This window comes from Homo sapiens, chromosome 3 (assembly GCF_000001405.40).
Source record: "Homo sapiens chromosome 3, GRCh38.p14 Primary Assembly".
NCBI classification, from domain to species: domain Eukaryota; kingdom Metazoa; phylum Chordata; class Mammalia; order Primates; family Hominidae; genus Homo; species Homo sapiens.
The window spans coordinates 163,330,916-163,357,895 of NC_000003.12; the positions used below are offsets into that span (position 1 = coordinate 163,330,916).

At 34.9% G+C, this 26,980-nt stretch overlaps 1 long non-coding RNA gene across 2 annotated transcripts in view, besides 2 other annotated features; it reads left to right on the top strand.

Moving 5' to 3' along the window:
- The window catches only part of LOC105374188 (uncharacterized), a 76,972-nt gene that overhangs the window by 26,725 nt on the left and 23,267 nt on the right, over window positions 1–26,980 (top strand). The window lies entirely within an intron of this gene.
- Window positions 6,492–6,661: an enhancer, noted in NCBI's record as "experimental_66379 CRE fragment used in MPRA reporter constructs". NCBI's record gives its function as "activates a minimal promoter by MPRAs in K562 erythroleukemia cells, with activity observed for both the introgressed and non-introgressed 3:163055280 variant alleles {active_cell/tissue: K562}" and the evidence as "EXISTENCE:reporter gene assay evidence [ECO:0000049][PMID:34662402]".
- Window positions 14,685–14,854: an enhancer, noted in NCBI's record as "experimental_66382 CRE fragment used in MPRA reporter constructs". NCBI's record gives its function as "activates a minimal promoter by MPRAs in K562 erythroleukemia cells, with activity observed for both the introgressed and non-introgressed 3:163063473 variant alleles {active_cell/tissue: K562}" and the evidence as "EXISTENCE:reporter gene assay evidence [ECO:0000049][PMID:34662402]".

Here is a 26,980-nt window from a genome sequence, read left to right on the forward strand (position 1 = left end):
AAATATCTTAGGAGTCTTTTCTGAGCCAAGAGGAGACTGTTGGTTCTTTGATAACATATCTTTTAAAAAATCCACTTAAGAGATTTTGGAGGCACCATTAATCAGAGGACATGGGGTATACCACTAGGGCTGAAAGCTAATGGACATGTCAGAAAAGTTCACCCCGGAAGAACGAAAGCCATGCCCTGCATATGTGAAAAGCATGGTTTGCCATAAGGACATTCCAAATTATCTATGTGCCTACAGTTATGTTTGGACAGCTTCCATAAACAGGACTCTGGCAGTCAGGAGAGAAATTCAAATATGATTACAATATAAGTCCTTCCTTTAATCAACTCAACACAATACTGCCTCAACCTGGAAATAACCAGAAAGGAGAGACAAAAAAATTAATTTAAAAAACAGACCATTTCCAATTATTTTACTGTCGGTGCCTGTACCAAATTGAGTTCCAATCTGGGTTGAGGAGAAGCTTTGAAAAGCATCCAGAATCAATGTTTTACATTTAACTAGAATATAACATTTTTTTCAATAAGTGAAGCATTAAAATTTTAAATTAAAAATGTAAGAAACTTAATTGAAATATAAAAACGGTTCCTATATTTGAACCCCAGAAGCCATTAAATCTGATGAGAGTTTTTCAAAGGTTAATTTAGAATGAGTCAATAAATATCATGGAAGGCAACAATGGGGAAAAAAGCCATTACTCATGTGTATCACAAATATAGAAAATTTTAAATTAAACTGATTACTAATGAGAATAATTTGTATTAGGTATGATGGATGGTTTTTACTTATATATGACCATGATGATCAGTTAAATTTATTCTAACCAACAGTACATTGAGTTGTTCTAGTTGCATATATTTTCCAACCAGAACAACTCAGTGAGGAAAATGCAAAATAAGGGTAATATTTTTTGAATACCCTTACAGTATCAGTTACTTTGCATATACTGTATCTTAGTTCATTATTTTTAATACTTACTACAGCACTTCAATATGTGGGAGTTTTGTTTTGAAAAGAAACAATGAGAAATAACAATTACACTTCCTAAAATAATGACTAATACACAATTAGATGACCATCACAATACTCCTATCATTTCAAGGCAGGTTTTAGGACAAATGACTGACTTATCTATATAAATTTAAGTTTTCAAAGAATATATTTTCTTTTAATATTAGTGGAAAAAATTAACAGGAAGCTGGCATATTCATTAGGTGAAATAAGTGAAACAAACTCCATTGATACAAAATGGGAAAGTATTCTGTTACTTGTATATTTGGAACATACAGGTTATGATAATGTAAACTGGATGATGTGAATTATCTCACAGAGGTTAAGTTTAGGTGATTATATTAAAGTCAGTAAGTAGGAAATTGCTATAATTTGCACTAACGGGAGTGTCAAGGTCATATACAAACCCTATGTAATCCAAAAAAAGAAAAAAAATAGTATTAATAACAAAAAAATCAGTTGAAAGGGCATATAATTAAGCTAAAATTAAATAAAATTCATAAAGTGAAGACACAATTTAAATATTAGTTCAGGAAACAGGATGAGAGATTCAAACTGAAAGAAATAATGACTAAGAGCAAATCAGTCAGGAAAGTAATATAGCATTACAAAGTGTCCCTAACAGCAGTAGTGCTAAATACTTGAAGACTATATGAATGTTGACTGCTTTAGAAACTTGGTCAAAGTGATCATAAGACCCTAGGCAAAATAATAATGGATATGGTATCCAAGTTGCTCAGACAGTCATAGATTTGACTGGACGTATATATCACAGTCAGTCTAAAAGGGTGAAGGGGAAAATATGCACAAGACTAAAGGGAAGGTGGGATGTGCTAAGCATAGAAATAAGCTGTGCTGCTGAAATAATGCTGAAAATAGTATATTGTATTTTCAGAAAAAAAAGTATAGTAGAATACTAAAGTAGAAAGACTCTACTATAACTAAGAGACCACTTGACATAAAATTATATATTTGTTAATATATATCCAATTTGTGAAAAACAAGGTACTGTAATAATAAAATATTGAAAATATTATCTAAGCATACTTAATATACTTTTAAAACTATTGAGAACAATTAATAACTTTGGGTTTTTAAAGAAGCAATCAACTGAATAAGACCTAAAACTAAATCTCTTTATAGTGGAAAAATAACATAAGTTCTAATGCTGCTTTCTATAAAGAGTATAGAGAGGAAACATGGTATAAGTGTATAAGTTCACTTTTAGAATACATTTAACATTTGTTACAAGACAGAAACATGATTCTAAACATTTAGCTAAAAACAACAATAAACATTAAATACATTAGAAACCAGAATATTAGTATTTTATATATGTGTATGTGTGTGTGTGTGTGTGTGTTTGTGTCTGTGTTTGTGTGTTGTGTATGTGTGTGAATGACAGAGGCTTTTTTCTAGTAGTTCCTCCCAGAAAATCTGTCTGTAAAAAATCTTGGTCAAAATATGCAGAAATGTACAATTGGAAATATGTCTCTGGCTGTGTTTAAACTTTGTAATGAAGATGCACAATTGAAAGAGATTCTTTGTCACTGGCCTGTCTGGAACAACTATGCCCAGAGAATGTAGAAATAGCTATGAGGATAATCGATCTGTATGCTAACCCTACCTCAGAAACCAATTCACACTGACCTTGTTCAAGTTACTTAACTGTTCTTAAGCTTTCCCATCTGAAGCAATAAAGACCTTATCTAGCGGTGAGTTGTGGGTATTGATTAGCAAATGTTCTGAGAGTTCTGTGCAGATGGAAGAAACAGGACATAAAGGATAAATGAAAATTTTATAGACAAGGAGGCTTCAGTTAAGGCTTTCAATGATCATATACACGTTCATCTCACTATTAAAAATAAATAAATTGGGCCGGGTGTGGTGGCTAACGTCTGTAATCCCAGCAATTTGGGGGGCCAAGGCAGGTGGATCACCTGAGATCGGGAGTTTGAGACCAGCCTGACCACCAATATGGAGAAACCCCGTCTCTACTAAAAGTACAAAAATAGCTGGGCTTGGTGGTGCATACCTGTAATCCCAGCTACTTGGGAGGCTGAGGCAGAATTGATTGAACCTGGGAGGTAGAGATTGTGGTGAGCCAAGATTGAGCCATTGCACTCCAGCCTGGGCAACAAGAGCAAAACTTTGTCTCAAAAAAATAAAAAATAAAAATAAATAAAATAAATAAGTTGGAAAGGTGACATTTTAAAAACACATGAAGATGCAAGTATTAAAGATTATAGTTATTAAAAGACAATCTATAATATATTGGTTGCCTACCTTATTTTATTACAATTACTCAAAATAAATAACTGACACACATATACCAGCAAAAATTCTCATAGGATGGAACTAAATAAAATTTTCTACATACGAATATGCATTTAAAAAGTAAAAACTGCTCAAATTGTGTTTTAAAACCATGAATTACTATGTGCAAGATAAATTCCTGAGTCTTAATAAAATTTAATATTATCTGTGTGATGATAACCATAAAAGGCAAATTTTAGTGCAATTTTGGTATAGTATAAATTATTTATCAATATCTAATTTGAAATATATAAACTACAAACTGTGAGACTCTTCAAAATAAATATTTGTTATAAAACCATATAGAATAATTTGTAGGCATATTAATTCAGCCAACTAGTTTGCTTATATGTAACAATCATTTTTACTAGCTGTATTAGTCTGTTCTCATGCTGCTAATAAAGACATACCTCAAACTGGGTAATTTATTTAAAATAAAAAAAGATGTTGAATGGACTCACAGCTCCATGTAGCTGGGAAGACCTCACAATCATGACAGAAAGCAAAGAAGGAGAAAAGTCACACCTTACATGGCAGTAGGCAAGAGAGAGAGCATGTGGAAGGGAACTCCCCTTTATAAAACCATCAGATATTGTGAGACTTATCACTATCAAGAGAACAGCACAAAAAAGACACATGCCCATGATTCAGTTTCCTCCCACTGTATCTCTCCCATGACACATGGAAATTATGGGAGCTACAGTTTGAGATTTGGGTGGAGATACAAAGCTTAACCATATCATTCCAATCCTGGCCACTCCCAAATCTCATGTCCTCACATTTCAAAACTAATCATGCCTTCCAAACAGTCCGCAAAGTCTTAACTAATTTCAGCATTAACTGAAAAGTCCACAGTACAAAGTCTCAATTGAGACAAGGCAAGTTCCTTCCCCTCTGAGCCTGTAAAATCAAAAGCAAGTTAGTTACTTCCTAGATACAATGCGGGGTACAGGCATTCCTAGATACAATAGGAGGTATATCCATTCCAGTTGAGATAAATCGTCCAAAACAAAAGGGTTACAGCCACATGCAAGTCTGAAATCTAATAGAGTAGTAATTAGGCCTTAAAGTTCCAAAGTGATATCCTTTGACTTCATGTCTTACATCTAGGTCATGCTGATGAAAAAGGTAGGTTCCCATGGCCTTGGAAAGCTGCACCCCTGAGGCACTGCAGGGTATAGCCCCCCCTCCTGGCTGCTTTCATGAGCTGGCTTTGAGTGTCTTTGGCTTTTCTAGTTTCATGGTGCAAGCTGCTATTGAATGTACCATTCTGGGGGATGGTGGACAGTAGCCCTCTTCTCACAACACCAGTAGGCAGTACCCAATGAGGACTCTGTGTAGAGGCTCCAGCTTCAGAATTCCCTACCACAATGCTCTAGCAGAGGTTCTGCATGAGGGCCCCATCCCTGAAGCAAACTTCTGCCTGGACATCCAGGCATTTCCCTACATCTACTGATATCTAGGTGGAGGTTACCAAACCTCAGTTCTTTACTTATGTGCACCAACAGGATCAACACCACGTGGAAGTTGCCAAGACTTGGGGCTTGTAACCTCTGGAGCCATGGCCATGGCTGTACCTTGGCCCCTTTTAGCCACAGCTGGAGCAGCTGGGATGCAGGGCACTAAGTCCTTAGGCTGCACACAGAACAGGGGCCCTTGGCTAGGCCCACAAAATGATTTTTTCTTCTGAGGCCCCAGGCTTGTGATGGGAGAAACTGCCATGAAGTCTTTGACATGCCCTGGAGATGTTTTCCCCATTATCTTGGTGATTAACATTGGGCTTCTTATTACTTATATAAATTTCTGCAGCAGGCTTAAATTTATTCACAGAAAATGGGTTTTTCTTTTCTACTGCATTGTCAGGCTGCAAGTTTTCCCAATTTTTATGCTCTGCTCCCTCTTGAACATCTTGCCGCTTAGAAATTTCTTCCCCGAGGTACCCTAAATTGTCTCTCTCAAGTTCAAAGTTCAACAGATCTCTAGGGCAGGGACAAAATGTCATCACTTTCTTTGTATAGTGAGTGACCTTACTCCAGTTTCTAACAAATTCCTCATCTCCATCTGAGACCACCACAGCCTGGACCTTATTGTCTATATCACTATCAACATTTTTGTCAAAGCCATTCAACAAATCTCTAGGACGTTCCAAACTTTCCTGCATTTTCCTGTCTTCCTCTGAGTCCTCCAAACTGTTACAATCTCTGGCTGTTACCCAGTTCCAAAACTGCTTCCACATTTTTGGGAATCTTTACAGCAGCACCCCACCACCTAATACTAATTTAATGTATTAGTCTGTTCACACACTGCTAATAAATTAGTCTCATGCTGCTGAGACTGGGTAATTTACAAAGAAAAAGAGGTTTCATTTTCTCACAGTTCTGCCTGCGTGGGGAGGCCTCACAATCATGGTGAAAGGCAAAGGAGGAGCAATGTCATGTTGTACATGGCCACAATCAAGAGACAGTGTGTTCAAGGGAACTCCCCTTTATAAAACCATCAGATCTTGTGAGACTTAATCACCGTCATGAGTGTAGCGTGGGAAAGACCCATCTCATTATTCAATTACTTCTCACTGGGTCTCTCTCACAACATGTGAGAATTATGAGAGCTACAATTTGAGATATGGGTGGAGACACAGCCAAACTGTACCACTAGCTCTATAAAAAGCAAGAAATGTATAAATCAAGTTATAAATGTATAAATTTTATTATAAACTTTAATGTATTGTATCCCATTAATGGTAGATGAAACAAAACTAATGAATTTTTTAGGATTAAAAAATAATCTCAGAGCCATTAGTTTGACATTTTTTCCTTTCCCCAGCCTTCTTCTGAATATCACTTTCAGCCTGAAGACCATAAAAATGGCTTTAAGCTGGGCATGGGGCACTTACCCCTATCCCAGCACTTTGGAAGGTCAAAGCAGGAGGATGTCTTGAGCTCAGAAGTTATAGATGAGCCTGGGCAAAATAGTGGGATTTCATCTCTACAAAAATAAAAAGAAAAAGAAAGAAATAAATTTAAGATTTTCCAAAGTTTATATTATTTTATTTTTAAATCATGTTTTTCTTGGTCTCCAATAAATGTGAACTATACTATTTTATTGCTCCTGAACCTTCTCTGAATTTTCAAAATAGACAGAACAAAAGACAAAATAGAAAAAGGGCAGTTCCCTAATTCCCTATGAAGAAAATGTAGTGTTAAAATAAATATTTTAATACAGGCTTATGATAAAGTATACGCTTTGTAAAAAAATTTACATCCATATGCTTCAAATATCTGCTTAATTATTCTTCTGTGGATATATTTAGAGGACTGAATATCTTCATATGTTCTTGATGTAAGAAAAAAAACTGGAAGACATTACGTTAGACATATGTGTTCAAACTCTTTTGGTATCAAATAATTAAACTTGGCATTCAATTACCAATGACTGCCTAAGCCATTTTCTACAGCTTAACTGGTTTAACGTTTTAACATTAAAACAGATCAGTAGTAGCCAAGTTAGTATTAGCTTCATCTCAGATTCTATTTTTATGCTCTAAAGGACCATGCAAACCATTAGGTTAAGTTTTACAAATAAACTATCACTGTGAAAAGATTTTTAAAACGAAATAAACCTCTAAGAAAAATGTGAAAGAATTATCTTGGTCATATATTTTGAGAATACAATCATGTATTACTTAATGACAAGGATATATTGTAGGAAATGCATGGTTAGGTTATTTTATCATTGTGCAAACATCATGACTGTACTACACAAACTGAAATGATATAACCAATAACACACCTATGCTATATGGTATAACCTATTGCTCCTAGGCTGCAAACCTGTACAGTATGTTACTGTGATGAACACTGTAAGCAACTTTAACACAATGATAAATAGTTGTATATTGAAACATACTTAACTATAGAAAAAGAACAGTAAAACAGGGTATTATAATCTTATATGACACCACTGAATTTGTAGTTCATTGTTAACTGAAATGTTGTTTTGTGGTACATGATGGTATATTAATTTTAATGAAGATAAAATGTTTCAGGTTGTTTTGTTTGAGGATTATTATCACCAAATAATAAATGATATCTCTAGAATGTGATAACAGCATGCTAGAATTTGATCATGTAAAATAGTTTCATTTTCAGGCTTGTTGTTGTTTCTGTGATACACTGTATGTTTTCAGCAGTATCTGGAACAGGTGTAACCTAGTAACTAAGATGCCTAACTTTGGAATCTGTCTTCAATTTGTCAGCTTATTTTACCTTAAACAAAGGATTTATGCTCTCTAGGCTTTTTGCTTATATGAGAAACAAATGGAGATAATAAGAATGAGTATGACATAAAATGTTTGTGAGAATAATGAAAAGCAACCCAATCTGAAGAAATATGACTGCGAAGAATATATACTAAATGCCCTGAAAAAGGGTATCTGTGGTTATAGCCATGATTGACTCTGTATTATCGCTTATTAATAAATATGAATTTCGTTTCAATTATCTTTTAATTTAGTTATGTGATTTTAAAAAGGTTGTTGTATTTTTACATAAGACTAGGAACACAGAAATTCCTAATTGTTTGCCAGTAGCATCTATTTCACATTTTATAAGAAAATTAATGGAAAAAGTGTGTTAAGACATGTTCATTTGACGTACAAACTTTGCTAAGACATATCCATCAATCATTCCATGGTAAACATTTGTAACATTTCACTCTTCTCAAGATAAACCAAAGGCTCTCCCATGTTATTATATTAGGAACATTACTGCTAATGTGATTTTATAAACATTCTCCATGTATATCACTGTCTGAATCTGCACACTGAAGCTAAATGTTATATTTAATTTTATTTGTGGCAGAATAAAAAGTTGTTAAGGAGCAAACGTTCCATTTCCGTTGGAAATAGAACCTTATGGCTGGAAATAGTGGCTTATGCTTGTAATCTTATCACTTTGTGAGGTCCAGGCAGGAAGATTTCTTGAGCCCAGGAATTCAAGACCAGCTTGGGCAACATAGTGAGATCTTGCCTCCACTAAAAATTAAAAATTCAGCAGGGCATGGTGGTGCATGCCTGTAGTCCCAGCTGCTTGGGAGGTTGAGGTGAGAGGATTGCTTAAGCCCAGGAGTTCAAGGGTGCAGTGAGCCGTGATTATGCCACTGAACTCCAGCCTGGGTGGCAAAGCAAGGCCCTCTTTGAAACAATTCACCCAAGCAACCAACCAACAAACAAAAACACCTCATTTAGATGACTGAGCTTTAATTTTTTTCTATAGATATAAATCTGAAAGTTTTATTGGAAATACCTTTAAGTATTTATTATTCATCATTATTTCTGAATGAGGCAATACTGTCTAAAACTACATAGTGAACACATTTACATAGAGTTGGTTATATGATATAAATACACTTTTGTCTTATATATGTTTTTAATTTTTTACCTTATTTTAAACTGTTTTTATTATTATTCCAGGGACAACTACCTAATTTTAAAAATCTATTGCTTGTTTCTTTCTTATAAAATCGCAATATTTTATACAGATCCAATATTTTACAAGTTTTTCTTTTCTAATTATTTATTAATACACCTGAAGAAAACTCTTAAAAACTTTTATCCTAATTTCACTTCTCACCTCCATCAATCACATAATCCTTGTAACTTTGTTCTTCTTCTTCAAACATAAAGATTTTTAAAAATTCTAATATGTTAGACTTTAAAATATTTCTTTGTAAAACAAACAGAAAAAAATAGAAAAAATACAATTTATACAATGTATGTACACCTTTGAAAGTCCATTCAAGTTGACAGACAAACTTCAGGAAAACACTTTGAAAACTATGTATTTCTATTTTACGATATCTATCTCAGGAAGTTAGAAAAAAATAACAACTATACCCAAATTAGCAGAAGAAAAGAATTTATTAAGGTAAGAGCAGAAATTATTGAAATAGAATACAAGTATATAATAGAGGCAACAGAAAGGCAAACCTGACTTATGATTTCATTTCTGATATATAAACAGATTAGAAATACTCATTTCTTTCCTACCATAAGAAAATGGTAGACAAATTTGAAATCACTGAATTTTTTTAGACCCACAGATAGAAGAATTTGCCAGGCAAACCACCATCCTGAAATCTGTAAAGACAAGATCATCCAAAGCATAGCTGTTATGGAGCAAATATTTGTGTTATCCTAACATTTATGTGTTGAAGCCTTAACCCCCATTGTGATGGTATTCAAAGATGAAGTATATTAGTTCTTTAGAGGGACAGGACTAATAGGATAAATGTATACATAAAAGGGAGTTTATTAAAAAGTATTGACTCACAGGATCACAAGGTGAAGTCCCACAATAGGCCATCTGCAAACTGAAGAGCAAGGAAGCCAGTCTGAGTCCCAAAACCTCAAAAGTAGGGAAGCCGACAGTGCAGCCTTCAGTCTGTGGCTGAAGGCCCAAAAGCCCCTGGAAAACCACTTGTGTAGGTCCAAAAGTCCAAAAGCTGAAGAGCTTGGAGTCTGATGTTCAAGGACAGGAAGCATCCAGCACGGAGAAAGATGGATGTGACAAGACTTAGGCAGTCTAGTCCTTCCACATTCTTCTGCCTGCTTTTATCCTAGCCATGTTGGCAGATGATTAGAGGGTGCCCACCCATATTGAGGGTGCATCTGCGCCTCCTAGTTCACTGACTCAAATGTTAATTTTTATTTTTGGCAACACCCTCACAGACACACCCAGCAACAATACTTTGCATCTTTCAATCCAATCGAGTTGACACTCAATATTCACCATCACTTGGGCCCTTTGGGAGTTACAGTAATTAGGAATGGATTAGCTCATGAAGGTGGGGCTTTCCTGATGGGAAAGCTTTATAGATAGCTCTCTTTCTCGCTCTCTTTCATGCCTGCATGGAGAAAAGGCCATGTGAGGACATAGCAAGAAGGGAGCCCCCTGCAAGCCAGGAAGAGAAAGCATACAATAACCTCATTATGTTGGCACCGTGGTCTTGAAATTCCAGATTCCAGCACTGTGAGGCAATAAATGTCTGTCGTTTAAGACCCAGGGTATGGCATTATATTACGACAGCCAACAGTGAGTAAGATAACAGCTAGGATCTGTTTATATGGAAGGGAAAATACTTGAGCTATAAATTGATAGCATTTAAATGACAATTTGGACAAATAGAGACTGAATGTGTACTAGTGTGTCAGTGAGAAGGTCCCAAGAAGCATGGTCTTAGGGGGCCTTACACTTTCATGGACTTTACCTATTAGAAGTTCACAAGATTTTCTGGGGAAGAATCAAGAAATACCTACTCATGTCTCTGGCAAATGGAAGAGAAGTGTAATCATTGTGAAATATGGAGAAGGCTTCATAACAATGGGCTATATTGCAAAGGGAACTAGTTAGAACCTTATCAGAGTCAAGGAAGGGCTTTTCTCTCACTCTAGCCACCTCTATACCTTTCCTATCTGAGAAAGGAGCAAAAAATTAATAGTCAGTGAAGGGAAGAACTTCAAGAAAATATGAAAAATCTCCACCCAGGGAAGCCAGTAGGGAACAATGGGTAGAATAAACAAAAATAAAATTATGTAAATGCAGAAACACTTGTAAAAGTAACAGCCAAAAGACACAGTCCGGGTAAAAGATTGACACGGAATTAGAAGAATATAGAGAGCATCCTCTCTCCCATACTGTATTGCTGCACAAACCAGTCTCTACCATAATACAGTGCCTTACAACTGAATATATTTCATGACACAGACTCTCTGTGGGCAGTAATATGTATGAGAATTCAAAGTTAAGAGGGGAGACAAAAGCAAGAACGTGAGGAACATGAAGCATCTGACTCCATTGATAAAGGAGTTTAGAAGAAATTACTTAGGTAGATTGTGAGGGTATGGAAGTCCTTGGTAAGGTTTTCCTTTTAATGAAAAGTAGCCCCAAATTATTTTTCCTTCTAACACAGAGCAGCTTGTAAATTCGAGCTGCAGACATAGATGCCTGCAGTCGTGCCAATCATACTCAAGATGGTGGCTCCTTTTTTCCTCCTCTTTGTCAGCCACCTGTAGAGTAAGGAGCAGACAAGATGGCCCATGCCAAAGGGAAAATTTATATGCATAATAAAATTAGAGTGGGGCAGCCAGTCTTCCCCATGCACTATGTAAACGTCATACCTGATGGAACCAATCTGTGAACCTTATGTAAATCAGACACTGCCTCCTCAAGCCTGACTATGAAATCTGGCACATCTGCCGTGGGCCAATCCTTTCTTTACGGAAGTACCCTCTCTCTCACTAGAGAGAGATCCTTTTTCTTTCTCTTTCTTTTGCTTATTAAACCTCCTCTCCTAATCTCCTCGTGTGTGTCCACGTCTTAAATTTTCTTGGCGCAAGATAACAAACTCCAGGTATTTAGCCCAGACAATGTAGCCCCTTCTCAACAGCTCTAAAAATGCTAAGAATACCAATTACTAGGCAAGTTAACATAAATCCTCATACTAGAGGCCTTTTTACCGTGGTTCTTAGTACAAAATACCACATGTCCAAAATTCAACAAATGCTTAAAAGCCATGCCAAAAGGTAAAATAAAAGCACAATCCAGATGACGGGTTGATGAGTGCAGCAAACCATGATGGCACATGTATACCTCTGTAACAAATCTTCACATTCTGCACATGTATCCCAGAACTTAAGTATAATAATTTAAAAACCACAATCCAAAGGCACAAAACAATCATTAAAACCAGACTTAGTCATGACAGATATTGGAATGATTAGAAAGGGAATTTTAAATAACTTTTATTAGTATGTTAAGGATTCTAATTGAAAAAGTAGACATTATGCAAGAACAGATAAGTAACAAAGCCAGAGAGATATAAACTGTAATAAAAATTAAAAAGAAAATACTAGGTATAAAGAATGTTGTAACAGAAATGAAGAATGACTTTTATGGCTCATTATACAATGGAACAGACAAGGAAAATATTAGTAAGCTTTTATATAGGTCAGTAGATACAAGCCGAATCAAAATGCAAAGAGGAAAAAATGAATATATTAACAGATCATTGAACTGAATAACAGTTTTATAAAAGTGATACTAGACACACAATTAAAAATGAGAAAGAGGAAACAATGAAATAGAGATATATTTGAAGTTATAACAAAACGTTACAAAAGGAAAACTAAAATTGGCAATATTAATTATGAATTATCTGTACTACATTTAAACTGATAAAGATTTATTTGAATATTGACTTGGGTTAGTCAAAAATATACTAAAAACAATAAAATAAGTATAATGGACATTAAGAACATTGGACATTAAGAACATAAGGACATTGAGATAAAATTTTATCATAAAAAAGTTCAAATAGAACCATACAAGCAGGAGAGAAAGAACAAAAACAAAACAAGAAAGTAGTAATACTTACAAAAATGGTAGATATTAAAACCACCTAATTAATAATTCATTTGAATGGGAATATTCAAAATATACAAATAATAGAATAAATAAACAAGACCAAATAATATGTTGTCTACAAAAAACTGACTTTAAATAGAAAGCTTAGACACTTTGAACAAAAGATACAAAAAAAGACATATGATAATAAGACCAGTTAAAAGAAAGCTATGTAGCTGTATTAATTCCAGACAAAGCAGACTTTACAAAAAGAAGGATTATCAGTAATGGAGAGGGACACTACATACTAATAATGATAAAGGAGTTAATTCACCAGAGACATAAATCTAAACACATATGCATCCAGCAACACAGTGCCAAAATACATGAGGCAAAATTGACAGAATGGAAAGGATAAATTAAGAATCCAATGCTATAGGTGAAGATTTTCACAATCCTCTGTAACTGATATATTAAACTTTCAGAAAATCAGAAAGTTTACAATTGACCTGAATAGCATTATGAATCAATTTGATTCAATTGATAATTATAGAATACTCAATACAACATCAGTGAAATATATATTTTTTCTGAGCTCATATGGAACATTCACCTTCATAGGTCATATTGTGGGTCACAAAATACACCTCATCAAATTTAAATAGAATTCACATGTTGTTTTTTTAATACCCAAATGAAGTTAAACTAGAAATCAATAAAAGAAAGAAAATTGAAAAATATCCAAATATTTGGAAATTAAGCAACACACTTTTAAATAACATGCGGGTCAAGGAATTCTCAATAAAAATTACATATAATATAATATATATTGTATATATAAGGTTATATATAATTTCTCAATACAAATTATATATTTTATACATATATATAATTGAAAATACCTCTTATTCATGGGATGCAACATAAGCACTGATAAAGAAAATCAATAATGTTAAATGTATGGGTTACAAAAATAAGAAAGAAAAAGAAAGCAACAACCTAGCTCTACATTAGGAAAAGAACAAATAAAAATTTAAACCTAAAGTATTTCACCTGGAAAAAGTAATAGAGCAGAAATCAATGAAGCTGAAAATAAGAAAACAATAGAGAAAATTAACAAAATCCAAAGCATATTCTGCAAAAATGATCAGTAAAAGTGATGAACTTCTAACCAGAATAACTAAAAATAAAAGAGAGAAGACACACATTACTAACATCAGAAATAACATGAGGGTCATTGCTAGCAATCTCATGAACTTTATAAAAATAATAATTAAAGATTACTAACAAATGTGGGCTAATTTCAACTTAGATGAAATAGATTAATTCCATCAATGACACATCCTACTCAAAGTATGATAAATGTACTTAAATAGCTATTTATCTCATAAAGAAATTAGATCAATGGTTAATAATCTTCTAAAAATAAAATAGTAGGCATAGATGGGCTCACCAGTGAATACTAACAAATATGTCAGGGTAAAAAGTGATGCCATTCTCAGCAATCTGTCAAAAAAAAATTGCAACAGTGACCACTTCCTATCTCCTTCTACAAGGTCTGCATTGCCCTAATACCAAAATATAAAAATATGTAAAAAAAAAAAAAAACAAACAGCAATGTCTCTTATGAATATGGATGCAAACAATCTTAATATAATAGCTATGTAAACCCAACAATGTATTAGAATATACACCACCACTAAATGAGATATATTTGAAAGACATCGTTTGCTGCAGTATTTGAAACCCAATCAGTGCATCCCACTATATCGACAGACTGAATAAGAAAAACTGTAGAATCCTATGCATTAATGCAGAGAAAATATTTTCTAAAGACCTAATAATGATGCATAATAGAAAAATAGAAAACTAGGAATAGGGAGGACCTTACCCAACTTATTAACAATGATCTATGTCAAACGTACAGCTCATACACTTGATAGTGAAAGCTTGGTCGTGTTCGTCCTAAGAATGGGAAAAAGACAAGGATGTCCTCTATGCTTATTAACACTGTTGTTAAACCGTACCAGCAATCTTAGGTGTCTGGGGGGAAAAAAGGCAACAAATAAAATGTACATAGATTGAAAAAAAAAAGAAATAAAACTCTCTGTTCACTCTGTTAGAGTGGCTAAAATATACAAGTTAGTACCAAACGCTGGTGAGGATGTGAAGCAAGAAATACCATCATTCATCACTGATGGGAAGGCAAAATGGTACAAATGATTTGGAAAACAGTTTGGCATTTTCTTAAAAAACTAAACATTGTCTTATAATACAATTACTAATCATGTTCCTTGGTATTTACACAAATAAGTTGAAAACTTGTTCACACAAACACCTGCACACGTATATTTATATCAGCTTTATTCATAATTGCAAAAACTTGGTAGCAAGCAAGATATCTTTCAGTAGGTGAATTATACAGAAACTGTGATACAGCCATACATTGAAATATGATTCAGTGCTAAACAGAAATGAGCTTTCAAGCTTCAAATGCACATTAGTCAGTACAAAAAGTCAATAGAAGAGGTCAAATATTGTATGGTTGCAACTGTATGACATTATGAAAAAGAAAAAAAAAAAAACTCTGGAGACAGTAAAAAGATTAGTGGTTGCCAGGGGGTGAGGTGAAGGAAGGATGAATAGGAGAAGCACAGAGGATTTTTAGGGCAGTTTAACCACTCAGCATCATGCTATAATGGTGTGTATGTGTCATTATACATTTGTAAATTACAAAAAAAAAAAATAAATAAAAATAAATAAATACAACAGCAAACTTTAATGTAAATTAGGTAATTATGTAAATTATGGACTTTAAGTAATAATGATGTCTATCAGTTACAACAAATGTACCACTCTGGTGTAGGATGTTGACAATGGGGGGGACTTCATGTGTGGAGATAAGGGATTTATGAGAATTCCACTTTTTGCTCAATTTTGCTATGAGTCTAAAACTGCTTTTTAAAAAATACAGTTTATTTAAAAATTTTTTAAGCCTCCCGGTTCACAAATGGGATGAGTGTCTATGCAGAAAATTCCAAATAATTTAGAAAAGCACCCACGTGGAAAAAAATAAGAAAGCATAGTATGACTGAGGGAAACAAGGTCAATATACAAAGTTCAATTGTTTTCCTATATACTAGCAATAAACACAAAAGAATTTGTAATTTTAAAACTACAATTTTCAATTGCATTTAACAAAAAGAAATAGGAATAAATCTACCAAAAATAAGTATAGGATCTATACAGAAACAACTATGAATGCCTATGAAAGAAATTAAAAATTATTGCAATTAGGAGAGTTATATCATGCTCATGAATTAGAAGTCTCAATATTGTAATAACATTTTTTCCCAACTTGACTTCTAATTGAATGTTTTCCAATCAAAATCCTAATAGACAAGTATAGATATTGATGAATTGATTCTAAAGTTTCTATGGATAAGCAAAAGATGTACAATAATCAACGCCATTCTTGTGAATATAAAAAGAAGACTCAAATTACCCTATTTTGATACTTAATGTAAATCTACAGTTTTCAAGACAGAAAGATATTCACAAAAAAATACACACATTAATTAGTTAAACATTACAGAGTTGAGATACCTTATACAAAAAATAACAGAAGATTGGTTCAAAGCCAAATATAAAATGCAAAACAATAATGCATTTTACAAAAAGGAGGAGAAAATCCATGTGACCAATGGTTGAGTAAATACTTTTTTAATATAATACTAACAGCATGACTTAAAAAATGATAGTTTGCACTTTAGTAAAATTTAAAAATTAAAGTATGTAAAAGATGCAGTCAACTGGGCGCAGTGGCTCATGCCTGTAACCCCAGAACTTTGGGAGGCTGAGGCGGGTGGATAACCTGAGGTCAGGAGTTCAAGTCCAGCCTGGCCAACATGGTGAAACCCCGTCTCTACTAAAAATACAAAAATTAGCCAGGCATGTTGGTGCGCGCCTGTAATCTCAGCTACTCAGGAGGCTGAGGCAGGAGAATTGCTGGAACCTGGGAGGGAGAAGTTGCAGTGAGCCAAGATTGTGCCATGGCACTCCAGCCTGGGCGACAATAACGAGACTCCATCTCAAAAAAAAAAAAAAAAAAAAAAAAAAAAAAAAAAAAAAAAAAAAAAAAGAAGTCAAGAGCATGAAAAGACAAACCACAGACTGGAAGAAAATATTTTAAAAATACTTATCTGCTAAATAACTTGAATCCAAAATCCAAAAACATTCCTAACCTAACAGTATGAAAACAAATTAATTAAAAATTTAGCGAAACATCTGAAGGGATTCCTTACAAAGGAAAATATGCAATGGCAAATAAGCATATGAAAATATTCTTTTGTCCTTAGAGAATTTGTCCTTAGAGAATTACAAATTAAAATAACAACGAGCTATTGCTTCACGCATATTAGAATAGTTAAAATCCAAAATACTGGTAATACCACAATACCAGCTCTTGGCAAGGACTCAGAGCAACAGGAACTCTCATTCGTTGCTGGTAATATTATGGTCCTTTGCAAGCCAGTTTATGACTCAGCAACTGAACTCTTGGGTATTTAATCAACTGAGTTTAAAATTTATGTTTATATAAAATCATGACACAAATATTAGACACATTTTACATAAATATCAAATTATAGAAGAAGCCAAGATATTATTCAATGAAGTTGAGTGCAAAAGCAAACGGTGGTATGTCCATGCAATGTTGTACTGTTTAGTAATCATAATTAAAAATAGCTCTCAAGCCCTGAAAAAATATAATTTTATTTGAATATCGCTAACTAAAAAAAACAGTTTGAAAAGGCTGCATACTGTAGTATTCTATTTATATCACATTCTGGAAAAGGCAAAACAATAGCGAGGATGAACAAATCAGTGATTGCCAGAGGTAAATGGTGGGGAATAGTTGAATAGGTAAAATCCAGGGTATCGTTTAGAGCAGTGTAACTATTCTGTGTGAGACTGTAATGGTGAATAGATACCACTATTCATTTGTCAAAACTCATAGAGCTTTATAACATAAAGAGTGAAATTTTTTTTATAAACACAGGAGATTGGAATATCACAGGTTGTGATTTAGAATGGTAAGCAAACAAATAAACAACAACAAAAAAAAACTAACTGTATTATAAATATATTTAAAAATCTCACTGACGTGATAGTGTGCTGGCTTAACTAACTTTGGAAATGGTGCAATGAATAAAAAGTCTGAATGAAATGTGCTTAAGCACAGTGCCCTATTTGATAATGATTATCAGCAGAATACTGGTTAAAAATATTGGAACCATTATACGTGTATGATGGAATTAAACAATTAATTGAATTGATGGTAGATGTTAGCAGACATGTTTCTCACCATTGGTGTAGAAATTTACTGCTAATTAGAAAGCTAGAATATGTGTTATATTCGATTTTGATACATCAGTAAGAACCTATGTTAAGCTTAATATAGATAAAGATGAGTGCATATAGAAATATTTACATGTATGCATATACACACAAGTTAGTGTAAACGCATTTATACTAACTTTTAAAACATATTACTTTCCTCCATTAACAAGAAGAGGGCTAGAAGAATAATATTCTTGTAGCAACGCACACACCTAACATGTAAATCGTGATTTCTAATACTGTTTTCCAATAAAATGAACTAGGGCTCTTTAGGGAGAGCTAATTCTAGGACTGGGAAACAAAATATACAAAAATAAGGTTAAAGCATCTTGTGGCTCCAGGAAATAAGAAAGTCCTCTAAAACATTAAAATAATGTGTAAAAAAGACACAAAAGCTAACTGAAAGAGCTTCAAGCAACCAAAATGGAAAATTTTGAACAACAAAATATAGTATTGAATTATAACCCAAAGCATATAATGTCCATGAGTCCATACTAAAATAAATAAATAATTAAACAACAAAAATAAATTAAGAAATAAATGGGGAAGAACAGCAAAAATTCCCTATTTAGGATTTCAATTATTTTATGTAGATACTTTACTCTCAAAGAAATAGAGCATTACTCCCCACTAATTAAGTGTGGCCTTCACTGTGTGTCTTACCTCAAATGAATGCAGTATGGAATGAGGGAAAAAGTATTTTTTACAATGAAAAACCTGACAAACTCTACCTCAGCCAGATGATCAAGGTTAAAATAAAAAGTAATGTCATGTTGACAGAAGATGCTGTTGTTATGATGTAATAGTAATGGCGCTTCTATGGTCTGTTTTCCCTAAAATTTTGTGACAGTTAATTTTATATACTCACTTGACTGGGTTGTAGAGTGTCCAGATATTTGTTCAAACATTATTCTGTGAGGGTGTTTTTGAATGAGATTAACATTTAAGTGGGTAGACTGGTTAAAACAAATAGTATCACACTTTGGAAGCCAGTTTGTCAGCTTTTCACAAAGTCCAACAGTTATACCACATGATTCAGCAGTCGTACTTTTGGGTATTTAATCATATGAGTTGAAAATTTATGTTTATATAAAAATCCATAAAATAAAAATTTCCACCCCCTTCCATAATGGCAGTGAGCTTCATCCAGTCAGTTGAAGGCCTGAATTGAACAAAAGTTTAACTCCTTCTCAAGTAAGATACTTTTTCACCCTACTGACCTTTGAACTGGAGCATAAGCTTTTCCTGTTTCTACAGCAGATTTCAGCTTTGAAATTAACTGGGGCATAAGCTCAGCAGATTTTGGATTTACCAGTCTCCATAATTGCATGAGTCAATTTTATAAAATAAATCTATACACACACACACACACACACACACACACACACACACACAGATATATACATACCATATTGGTTCTATTTCTCTGGAAAACTACACCCATAGTCTAATTAAAAAAAATAGGAAAATCCAATTTGAGAAATAGTTTACAAAACACCTAACCAGTATTTATTGCTCCAAAAATCAAAGTCATCAAAAATAAGGAAAATCTAAGAAGCCAGAACAGTGAGAAGGGCCTGAATCAGACATGACAACTAAAAAAATTTAACCAGATACCCTGAATGAGATCCTAGAAGAGAAAATGAGTATTAGGCAAAAACTGAAGAAATCTGAATAGCATACAGAATTTGCTGAATGATAATGCATAAATATTGATGTATTAATATATCCTAGAAAAATTCCATCCTAAAATAAACTGTCAACAATCATGAAAATAGAGTGTGGGTTCATATGTGAACTCTCTGTACTACATCAATTTTCCAATAAATTTAAAACGATTATAAGACGTTACTTTTTAAAGGCAAAATGTTTTCTTTGAGAAGAGCAGTAACTATGATTTTTATGTCATTTCCCTAAAACTGAATGATTTGGCCAACTGCTATTGTTACTGTATAAAGAATAGTTTTGTTTTGTTTTTTTGAGATGGAGTCTCACTCTGTTGCCCAGGCTGGAGTGCAATGGCATGATCTTGGCTCACAGAAACCTCCGCCTTCCAGGTTCAAGTGATTCTCCTGCCTCAGTGTCCCGAGGAGCTGGGACTACAGGCATGCACCACCACGCCCAGATAATTTTTGTATTTTTATTAGAGACGGGGTTTCACCCTGTTGGCCAGGATGGTCTTGATCTCTTGACCTCGTGATCTGCCTGCCTTGGCCTCCCAAAGTGCTGGGATTACAGGTATGAGCCACTGCGCCCAGCCAAGAATAGTTATTTAACTTAACATTAGTTAGATAAGATTGTTATGAAAAATATTCATCTTGTAATTCACAGAAAACTTCATTTCAATTATTTGCAACATGACTATACTAACATTAAATACATCTTTATTTTAAACTGACTAATGTTCAAACTATGTACAATTTTGTATGGTACTAATAAAGATCAGATGTGTTTTGTATTTATTTTATTTGATGATCCTTAATAGTTATTCACTAATTAACATGGAAACTCTAACTCAGTTAATTTCTAACACAGAAATATTCCAAATAATATAGAATAATAAGAAATCCCAGTGACGTTTAACTTTAATAAGCCTGCTAATCATGCTAAAACTTACTACTTGGTGATTTTTATACTTTGAACTCTTATATACTGTATCATTTATTTTCTTATGGTGAAACACATTATAGAAAAACTTTTTTTATTATTATATTTTAAGTTCTAGGGTACATGTACACAACGTGCAGGTTTGTTACATATGTATACATGTGCCATGTTGGTGTGCTGCACCCATTAACTCCTCATTTATATTAGGTATATCTCCTAATGCTATTCCTCCCCCCTGCCCCCACCCACAACAGGCCCCAGTGTGTGATGTTCCCCTTCCTATGTCCAAGTGTTCTCATTGTTCAATCCCCACCTATAAGTGAGAACATGCGGTGTTTGGTTTTTTTGTCCTCGTGATAGTTTGCTGAGAATGATGGTTTCCAGCTTCATCCATGTCCCTGCAAAGGACATGAACTCATCGTTTTTTATGGCTGCATAGTATTCCATGGTGTATATGTGCCACATTTTCTTAATCCAGTCTAGCATTGATAGGCATTTGGGTTGGTTACAAGTCTTTGCTATTGTGAATAGTGCCGCAATAAACATACGTGTGCATGTGTCTTTATAGCAGCATGATTTATAATCCTTTGGGTATATACCCAGTAATGGGATGACTGGCTCAAATGGTATTTCTAGTTCTAGATCCTTGAGGAATTGCCACACTGTCTTCCACAATGGTTGAACTACTTTACAGTCCCACCAACAGTGTAAAAGTGTTCCTATTTCTCCACATCCTCTCCAGCACCTTTTGGTTCCTGACTTTTTAATGATCGCCATTCTAACTGGTGTGAGATGGTATCTCATTGTGGTTTTGATTTACATTTCTCTGATGGCCAGTGATGATGAGCATTTTTTCATCTGTTGGCTGCATAAATGTCTTCTTTTGAGAAGTATCTGTTCATATCCTTTGTCCACTTTTTGATGAGGTTGTTTGTTATTTTCTTATAAATTTCTTTGTGTTCTTTGTAGATTCTGGATATTAGCCCTTTGTCAGATGAATAGATTGCAAAAATTTTCTCCCATTCTGTAAGTTACCTGTTCACTCTGATGGTAGTTTCTTTTGTGGTGCAGAAGCCCTTTAGTTTAATTAGATCCCATTTCTCAATTTTGGCTTGTGTTGCCATTGCTTTTGGTGTTTTAGACATGAAGTCCTTGCCCATGCCTATGTCCTGAATGGTATTGCCTAGGTTTTCTTCTAGGGATTTTACGGTTTTAGCTCTAACATTTAAGTCTTTAATCCATCTTGAATTAATTTTTGTATAAGGTGTAAGGAAGGGATCCAGTTTCAGCTTTCTACATATGACTAGCCAGTTTTCCCAACACCATTTATTAAATAGGGAATCCTTTCCCAATTTCTTGTTTTTGTCAGGTTTGTCGAAGATCAGATGGTTGTAGATGTGTGATATTATTTCTGAGGGCTCTGTTCTGTTCCATTGGTCTATATCTCTGTTTTGGTACCAGGACCATGCTGTTTTGGTTACTATAGCCTTGTAGTATAGTTTGAAGTCAGTTAGCGTGATGCCTCCAGCTATGTTCTTTTGGCTTAGGATTGTCTTGGCAATGCAGGCTCTTTTTTGGTTCCATATGAACTTTAAAGTAGTTTTTTCCAATTCTGTGAAGAAAGTCATTGGTAGCTTGATGGGGATGGCACTGAATCTATAAATTACCTTGGGCAGTATGAGCATTTTCACAATATTGATTCTTCCTATCCATGAGCATGGAATGTTCTTCCATTTGTTTGTGTCCTCTTTTATTTTGCTGTTTGTAGTTCTCCTTGAAGAGGTCCTTCACATCCCTTGTAAGTTGGATTCCTAGGTATTTTATTCTCTTTGAAGCAATTGTGAATGGGAGTTCACTCATGATTTGGTTCTCTGTTTGTCTGTTATTGGTGTATAAGAATGCTTGCGATTTTTGTACATTGATTTTGTATCCTGAGACTTTGCTGAAGTTGCTTATCAGCTTTAGGAGATTTTGGGCTGAGACGATGGGGTTTTCTAAATATACAATCATGTCACCTGCAAACAGGGACAATTTGACTTCCTCTTTTCGTAATTGAATACACTTTATTTCTTTCTCCTGCCTGATTACCTTGGCCAGAACTTCCAACACTATGTTGAATAGGAGTGGTGAGAGAGGGCATCCCTGTCTTGTGCCAGTTTTCAAAGGCAATGCTTCCAGTTTTTGCCCATTCAGTATGATATTGGCTGTGGGTTTTTCATAAATAGCTCCTATTATTTTGAGATACGTCACATCAATACCTAATTTATTGAGAGTTTTTAGCATGAAGGGCTGTTGAATTTTGTCGAAGGCCTTTTCTGCATCAACTGAGATAATCCTGTGGTTTTTGTCATTGGTTCTGTTTATATGCTGGATTATGTTTATTGATTTGAGTATGTTGAACCAGCCTTGCATCCCAGGGATGAAGCTCACTTGATCATGGTGGATAACCTTTTTGATGTGCTGCTGGATTTGGTTTGCCAGTATTTTATTGAGGATTTTTGCATCAATGTTCATCAGGGACATTGTTCTAAAATTCTCTTTTTTTGTTGTTTCTCTGCTAGGCTTTCATATCAGGATGATGCTGGCCTCATAAAATGAGTTAAGGAAGAGTCCCTCTTTTTCTATTGATTGGAATAGTTTCAGAAGGAATGTTACCAGCTCCTCCTTATACCTCTGGTCAAATTCGGCTGTGAATCTATCTGGTCCTGGACTTTTTTTGATTGGTAGGCTATTAATTATTGCCTCAATTTCAGAGCCTGTTATTGGTCTATTCAGGGATTCAACTTCTTCCTGGTTTAGTCTTGGGAGGGTGTATGTGTCCAGGAATTTATCCATTTCTTTTGGATTTTCTTATTTGTGTAGAGGTGTTTATAGTATTCTCTGATGGCAGTTTGTATTTCTATGGGATCGGTGGTGATATCCCCTTTATCATTTTTTATTGCGTCTATTTGATTCTTCTCTCTTTCTTCTTTATTAGTCTTGCTAGTGGTCTATGAGTTTTGTTGATCTTTTTAAAAAAAAAAGATTCTGGATTCATTGATTTTTTGAAGGGTTTTTGTGTGTCTATCTCCTTCAGTTCCACTCTGATCTTAGTTATTTCTTGCCTTCTGCTAGCTTTTGAATCTGTTTGCTCTTGCTCTCTAGTTATTTTAATTGTGATGTTAGGGTGTCAATTTTAGATCTTTCTTGCTTTCTCTTGTGGGCATTTAGTGATATAAATTTCCCTCTGCCCACTGCTTTAAATGTGTCCCAGAGATTCTGGTATGTTGTGTCTTTGTTCTCATTGGTTTCAAAGAACATCTTTATTTCTGCCTTCATTTCGTTATGTACCCAGTAGTCACTCAGGAGCAGGTTGTTCAGTTTCCACGTAGTTGAGCGGTTTTGAGTGAGTTTCTTAATCCTGAGTTCTAGTGTGATTGCACTGTGGTCTGAGAGACAGTTTGTTATAATTTCTGTTCTTTTACATTTGCTGAGGAGTGCTTTACTTCCAACTATGTGGTCAATTTTGGAATAAGTACAATGTGGTGCTGAGAAGTATGTATATTCTGTTGATTTGGTGGTGGAGAGTTCTGTAGATGTCTATTAGGTCTGCTTGGTGCAGAGCTGAGTTCAATTCCTGGATATCCTTGTTAACTTTCTGTCCTGTTGATCTGTCTAATGTTGACAGAGAGGTGTTAAAGTCTGCCATTATTATTGTGTGAGAGTCCAAGTCTCTTTGTAGGTCTCTAAGGACTTGATTTATGAATCTGGGTGCTCCTGTATTGGGTGCATATATTTAGGATTGTTAGCTCTTCTTGTTGAATTGATCCCTTTACCATTATGTAATGGCCTTCTTTGTCTCTTTTGATCTTTGTTGGTTTAAAGTCAGTTTTATCAGAGACTAGGATTGCAACCCCTGCCTTTATTTTGTTTTCCATTTGCTTCGTAGATCTTCCTCCATGTCTTTATTTTGAGGCTATGTGTGTCTCTGCATGTGAGATGGGTCTCCTGAATACAGCACACTGATGGGTCTTGTCCCTTTATCCAATTTGCCAGTCTGTGTCTTTTAATTGGAGCATTTAGCCCATTTACATTTAAGGTTAATATTGTTATGTGTGAATTTGATCCTGTCATTATGATGTTAGCTGGTTATTTTGCTCATTAGTTGATGCAGTTTCTTCCTATCATTGATAACCTTTACAATTTGGCATGTTTTTGCAGTGGCTGGTACCGGTTGTTCCTTTCCATGTTTAGTGCTTCCTTCAGGAGCTCTTTTAGGGCAGGCCTGATGGTGACAAAATCTCTCAGCATTTGCTTGTCTGTAAAGTATTTTATTTCTCCTTCACTTATAAAGCTTAGTTTGGCTGGATATGAAATTCTGGATTGAAAATTCTTTTCTTTAAGAATGTTGAATATTGACCCCCCACTCTCTTCTGGCTTGTAGAGTTTCTGCCGAGAGATCAGCTGTTAGTCTGATTGGCTTCCCTTTGTGGGTAACCCGACCTTTCTCTCTGGCTGCCCTTAACATTTTTTCCTTCATTTCAACTTTGGTGAATCTGTCAATTATGTGTCTTGGAGTTGCTCTTCTCAAGGAGTATCTTTGTGGTGTTCTCTACATTTCCCAAATTTGAATGTTGGCCTGCCTTGCTAGGCTGGGGAAGTTCTCCTGGATAATATCCTGTAGATTGTTTTCCAATTTGGTTCCATTCTCCCCATCACTTTCAGGTATACCAATCAGATGTAGATTTGGTCTTTTCACATACTCCCATATTTCTTCAAGGCTTTGTTCATTTCCTTTTACTCTTTTTTCTCTAAACTTCTCTTCTAGCTTCATTTCATTCATTTGATCTTCAATCACTGATACCCTTTCTTCCAGTTGATCGAATCAGCTACTGAAGCTTGTGCATTTGTCACGTAGTTCTCGTGCCATGGTTTTTAGCTCCATCAGGTCATTTAAGGACTTCTCTAAACTCGTTGTTCTAGTTAGCCATTTGTCTAATCTTTTTCAAGGTTTTTAGTTTCTTTGCAATGGGATTGAACTTCCTCCTTTAGCTCGAAGAAGTTTGATTGTCTGAAGCCTCTTCTCTCAACTCATCAAAATCATTCTCCATCCAGCTTTGTTCCATTGCTGGCAAGGAGCTGCGTTCCTTTGGAGGGGGAGAAGCGCTCAGATTTTTAGAATTTTCAGCTTTTCTGCTCTGTTTTTTCCCCATCTTTGTGGTTTTATCTACCTTTGGTCTTTGACGATGGTGATGTACAGATGGGGTTTTGGTGTGGATGTCTTTTCAGTTTATTAGTTTTCCTTCTAACAGTCAGGACCCTCAGCTGCAGGTCTGTTGGAGTTTGCTGGAGGTCCACTCCAGACCCTGTTTGCCTGGGTATCAGCAGCGGAGACTGAAGAACAGTGAATAGTGCTAAACAGCAAATGTTGCTGCCTGATCATTCCTCTGGAAGCTTCGTCTCAAAGGGGTACCCGGCCATGTGAGCTGTCAGTCTGCCCCTTCTGGGGGTTGCCTCCCATTTAGGCTACTCACGGGTCAGGGACCCACTTGAGAAGGCAGTCTGTCCATGAAATTGTTTGAAACTAATTGGCTTCTTTCTGAACTCTAAATTGTTTGGTTATGTGTTAAGCTTTATGAGCAAAGTATAGAAAGCTGCCTATTGATGATCAGCTAATTTTGCATCAAGGTTAGTTTGAGTAAGAATTCAAATATATCAGGTGGCAATTTATTGTAGAAATAAAACTGAGGTTTCTTCTAGTCCCTCATCTTTTTACTTTTTATTTAAATACTGGCTTTCACAATTGAAGTTCCAATTATCTCTTACTAATTCAAGAGAAAAATAAGCAATTTATTTATGTGTTATTTAGAAAATTTAAAATTGCATATGGGAGAAAATTAATACCATTCATAATACTATCAATCACAGATAAATATCTTTTTCCTTTTGCCATACATATCTCCATCAGTTATCTTACATAAATTTTAAAATAAACACAAATTTATTTATAAAATATTACATGAACTAAGCCTGGCGCAGTGGCTCGTGCCTGTAATCCCAGCACTTTGGGAGGCTGAGGTGGACAGATCACCTGAGGTCAGGAGTTAGAGACCAGCGTGGACAACACGGTGAAACCCCATCTCTACTAAAAATACAAAAATTAGCCAGATGTGGTTGTGGGTGCCTGTAATCCGAGCTACTCGGGAGGCTGAGGCACAAGAATCACTTGAACCCAGGAGGTGGAGGTTGCAGCCAGC